The 5,406-nt window shown below is 46.2% G+C and overlaps 1 annotated feature.

The window, feature by feature from the left end:
* Positions 2,643-3,555: an enhancer, noted in NCBI's record as "H3K27ac-H3K4me1 hESC enhancer chr2:30633050-30633962 (GRCh37/hg19 assembly coordinates)". NCBI's record gives its function as "activates a minimal SCP1, AML or CMV promoter by ChIP-STARR-seq in naive H9 embryonic stem cells {active_cell/tissue: H9 hESC(naive)}" and the evidence as "EXISTENCE:reporter gene assay evidence [ECO:0000049][PMID:30033119]".

Consider the following 5,406-nt stretch of genomic DNA (forward strand, 5'->3'; position numbering starts at 1 on the left):
AAGAGAAGCCCAGCTGCTTCTCTGGAAGGAGAAGCCTCAAAATATGTTGCCCAAAATGCTGAGGCCCACTCCCCCACAAGTCTGATTCCAGATGGTATCAGAGCCGCTCTCAGATGGAAGCAGGGAGTCGTTATCTGGCTGGGTCCCTCCCATTTCCCACTCTGCAGTCATTCATCAAGTGGCTGCCCAGAGCCCAGTGCAGAGCTGAGGCTGGTTCCTGGCCTCGAGAGACATTCCTGGTCTGGATGTCCAGTCAGCTCAGCTTTTCCTAGTGAAGTAGGGGTGGGGTCGTATCTGTGCCACCTGTGCCTCCTCAAGTCCTTAGCATGCCCCCAGGGAAGCACAGGATGCTTCTCTCCATTTCTCTTTGTTTAAAACTTTCCTTAATGTCAGGGGATGGGGGTATTGGATGGACCCCCAGGGGGCTTTAAAAATTGAAAGCCAGTCCCGGCCAGGGCCCCCACCGGATGGTGAGAGAGCACAGGAGGAAGCAAAAGTGCTTGTGTTAACAGAATGTCATTTCCCAACATGATTCAGGCCCCGACGCGAGGCAGGAAAAGGAGAGCAAATGCCTTCCCATTCATCACATCGGACACAGTTATTTTTAGAGTAGCACCAGCTCAGCGCTGGGTTCCAAGGGCCCTGCCGTGGAAGGAGATGAGGCTGGGCTGATACAGTCAGTGAAGAGTGGAAATCTTGCAGGCGTGTGTGTGTGTGTGTGTGTGTGTGTGTGTGTGTGTGTGTGTAGGATAAACAGGAGGGGTGAGCAGGCAGCTTTCCTCCCAAACTGCAGACCCTGAGCCTGGCTCCTTATGTGAGCATGAAGGAAATTGGGTGTGGAAGTAATCATCTGAGGAATTGTTGGGGGAGAAGAAAGGGAGACCCTCTTTGCCTGGAACTGAAGTGGGCCTTTGGCTTAGAAAGGGTCCCCTCACATCCCCACTCTGATCTGACCTGCCTTTTCCCAGGCACTCCCCAGGCTGAGGGCAAAGCAGCCTCATCCTAGACTGGGTAGAACATTGGCTGACTGCAGGGGTTCTTGGCTTCACTATCACAGCCTTACAAACATCTGGCCAGCATGAACGCCTCCCTCCACCCAGATGCTGATGGTGAGCTGGTATCTGAGAAATGGATTCTGCTCCAATCAGCACCTCCATGCCCATTTTCTAGAAGGAGAGTCTTAACTGGACATGGTAAGAGAGTCCCTTTTTGCAAGGGACAGATGAAAGGCTTCCCTTCTTTTTCACCCATTTCTGGTCTTCTCTCCTCTCTCAACCAACTGAAGGAAAAGGAAGACCTGAGGTTGAACCCGGCCCTGAGACAAGATTGGGGTCAGGATGTGGTCCCAGGCTGCCTTTCTTCCTAGGCTGGATTCTTCCTTCTCCTTTCATCTTAAATACACTGCCCTCCTGTTTTCTACCTCTGGAGAGTTCTTGGCTCTATAAAAGATGAATCAACTATCTGGCCTGACCCTAACTAACATAAGCAGTCACAGCCTAGGATGAAACTAAGGCCCTCTTTCTTTCCACAAGGCTTTCTAGATGTGCTTCAAGGTCTATGGAAATGCAGTTTATACTACATGGGTCTTTAAGGGCCTCAGATTTGATTTACTTTCCATTAATAGCTGAACTGTCCCTGAGGTTCTGGCCAGTTTTAAACATTCTTACTGGCAAAGGGGATTAGATAGATGACTTCCTGCACAGTCATTGGATGGATTCCCATAAGCCAAGGCTAGTGGACAGAGCATCCCATAGCAGCAAGTCACTGCTACTGCCTCCACCAGGAAAGCAAAAAAAGCTCATGTGAAGTTTTGATGGGGCTGCCAGCACATTGATAAGAAATCTCCCTGATCCCTGTGTTAGCACCCACAAGGTGGAGAGCTTATCCGCTTTGCACAACAACCCAGGTGAGTAAAGGGATCGCAAAGTAATGAAAGGGGAGGCATCTGGTTCATTTATTTTTACCAATATTTTTTCTTCTGAAGACTTATTACAAAGATGGTCCAGTCATCATTTTAGCAGAAGCAGACAGGTAAGGAGGAAGCAGTATTGTCTGGGAAGCCAGGTGCACCAACCCAGCTTTGCCACTAATCTACATCCCAACTGTGATGTCGAATCAGCCACCCACCTTTCTGGACCACAAAAGGAACGACTTGAACCAAATGAACTTGAAACTCCTTTCCAAAGTACCATAAAACAACAATAACTGGGGAGATGGAGGAGCTGCCTGGAGAAGTTAGTCCTCACACTGCTGCTTGAAGCTAACAGATAGTAGAATAATCCTGGCTGACAGTTACTGATCTCCTAACCAAATGCACATCTCATCATCAGCCGTCACAACAACCCTGAATAGTAGGTATTATTTTCCCATTGTACAGATGAAAGAACTGAGGATCAAAGAGGTTAAACCAACTGCTAAAGGTCAGTAAGTGGCAAAAGCAGGCTTAGGCCTACGTCTTTCTGATGTTTAAGCCCATGTGTTTTCTGTCCTACCATATTACCTCTCAATGGATCAAGGAGAACAATGTCTGTTTGTCTGTGTGTGTGTGTGTGTGTGTGTGTGTGTGTGTGTTTGTTTTTCTTATTATTGAGCATCCTTTTTAAGGTCTGTCCCTTCTCTATACTTCATTTTTCCTTTCCATAACATTATTTATTATTATAAAAGAGCTGCAATTCTACCCACCTTTTGCTGTGCTGGAAGAAAAATGTTGATAAAGTGCCTAGCCCCATATGCCACCAAATCAGAGTCTTTTGCAAGTCACGACCAGATGATCTCATCTGAAAGCTTCTGTGTGTGTTGGGTGCTTGCAGTTGAATAGGATGAGTCAGATGTCAGCCTACTTCTTTTCCAAGCACCTGAAACCCACCAACTTCCTGCTCTTCTTTCCTTTGAAGCTCTGTGTTTCGTTGTGCTTGGGAGTCCCTGGAAGGGCCAGACTGTTTGTCCAGGTTCAACACAAGGCTTGGGGTACAGTAGGTGGAGGTACCAGTATATGTTCCAGTCTCTCTGCTAAATCATTTGTCCCTTTCTCTTTGGCTCACCCTGTTATTTTCAAAACCCATTACCCACTTTGCATTAGGAGTTTCTCAGTCATTTTTTCTTCTTTCCTGTCACTCTCCTTGTATCTCTTTGTCCTTCTCCCTCTGATCTCTGTGCCTTCCCATTCTTTCTTCTGCTTAATGACTGAGTGGCTGACAACTGGGAGTCACACAGTATTATACACACAGCAGATTGAAGTCACCTTCCCATAGACTATGACAATCGTCATGATGCCACAGTACCAGGTGTGGGGGTCCTGGAGGGCTGATAAACAAGACATTCCACTCAGCATGGTATGGAGCAGAAAAAAACTGCATCATCAGGAAATTGACTCACACATAGCAGTTCCTAGACAGAGACCTTGGCCTGCAGTAGGTGACTATGAGAGTTCACATTTCTGCTTTTTCCTCCTCACTGGTACCTGAGTTAATCATGGGGCTTTGGACATAAGGGCAACAGTAGAGTCTCAGAGACACAGGATATTGACAGCATTCCAGAATAATCTGGCACTCTTCTCTTGCTTCCATTCATTATAAGGTCTACTTTAGAGGAACGTTGCAAACAAGGTCCCCAAATGTACCAGCCTCAAAGACTCTAATCCGTTTCCTATAGGCCCAAGAAACTCCAGGTTGGAAAATGAAGTTGGCATGCTTTACTGCACCCTCAGCAAAAATGACTTCATATTTTTGGTAGATGGGTGAATAGCAACTGAAAAGGATTGTTGCCAGGTGCGGTGGCTCACGCCTGTAATCCCAGCACTTTGGGAGGCCGAGGCGGGCGGATCACGAGGTCAGGAGATCGAGACCATCCTGGCTAATGTGGTGAAACCCCGTCTCTACTAAAAAAATACAAAAAATTAGCCGGGCATAGTGGTGGGGGCCTGTAGTCCCAACTGCTCGGGAGGCTGAGGCAGGAGAATGGCGTGAACTCGGGAGGCGGAGCTTGCAGTGAGCCGAGATTGCGCCACTGCACTCCAGCCGGGGCGACAGAGCGAGACTCCATCTCAAAAGAAAAAAAAAAAAGAAAAGGATTGTTGCAATAAGTAGAGGTGATATCTAGACACATTTATCTGTGGGTTAAAAGGAGCTTGTCTTATTCTCAGTTCCCTCTCTGACTCTCTACCTGAACTTTAACATTGTTTTCTTTTCCTGTGTCTTGGTTTCCACATTTATAAGCTAGACTTGTACCAAGAAGAAACCAATACATAATTGGAAAAAGAAAATGCTATGTAAATAATATTAGAGGTTCTCCTGCTGTTTGCTTGACAGCAGTTCACTTGGAAGGTTCAAGATCCTTTTGATCTTAGATGAGAGGCACCAGCTGCTGAGAGAGATGAAGTCTGATTTAATCCAGAGTTAACCTTCCAGAATATCTTTGTCAATAATTTGTGATGCTTCTTTGTAGTCTAAATTCAGGATAAAGGAGGAGAATATGATTTGTGGAATTGGTAATCACTATAAACTATAATTTCTGATCAAACCGTTTTATTTTGTGTTGTTTATGTTTCCCACATACGCCCTTCTGCGCAGACTCAAGAAACCAGTATCTGGACAGATACTTAGGAACTCGCAAAGGCCTTTTATCCTGACTATTTAAGCAAAAATAAACGATAGCTCAAGATATCAGAAGCTACACAAAATTCAGAATGGAAAGTATGTCCAGCACTTTTGACTCCTGATTTTGAGAGGCTTTAAGATAATGTCGCTCCACAGAGCCAATATGGAGAAAGGCTCATTTTGGTTGGGGGGGGTGGTGGGGGGTCACAAAACGTACTTACTGGACTACATACAACTGTCTCCCTGCAATCCTCCCTCACGTCTCCACAGCCAGATTGGAGCAGCCTGTGGAAAAAATTCCTGTCTATTTTCAGAAACAGATAAAAGCATTCAGATTATGCAGTACAAATCTCAGCCTGAAAGCAGCTGGAAAAATCTGTTTCTTGCCACTGTCACTGACCCCCCTGACCCTTGCAAGTAATGACATTCAGGCCTGCTTCTCCCTCCTCCCTTCTCCCTCCTCCTCCCTCCCAGTACAGACTGACCCATCCACTGCACATCTGGTCCTTGTCTACATTGTCAGAGCATTTATCCCTCAGAGAGCTAGAGACAGTGGAACAGGAATTAAGTTTTCTTGCGATTGAAAAAAAAATTATCAAGTGGTTCAAGGAGAAGATAGTGTTAAATCCATATCTCCTATCTGGATTTGTGAGGAGCATATTTGCAACACTGCCTGGTCCTCTGCTCTATACTCAGGGGTCACAGGGCAGGAGGCTCAATCTCAGGCAGGCACACAGGCTTCATTTGCCAAGATCCTCTCCTGGGTAGGACAGTATTCTACCCCGGGTAGAGCTGCTTAAGACCAGATATC

The sequence above is a fragment of the Homo sapiens genome, chromosome 2 (genome assembly GCF_000001405.40).
Source record: "Homo sapiens chromosome 2, GRCh38.p14 Primary Assembly".
NCBI classification, from domain to species: domain Eukaryota; kingdom Metazoa; phylum Chordata; class Mammalia; order Primates; family Hominidae; genus Homo; species Homo sapiens.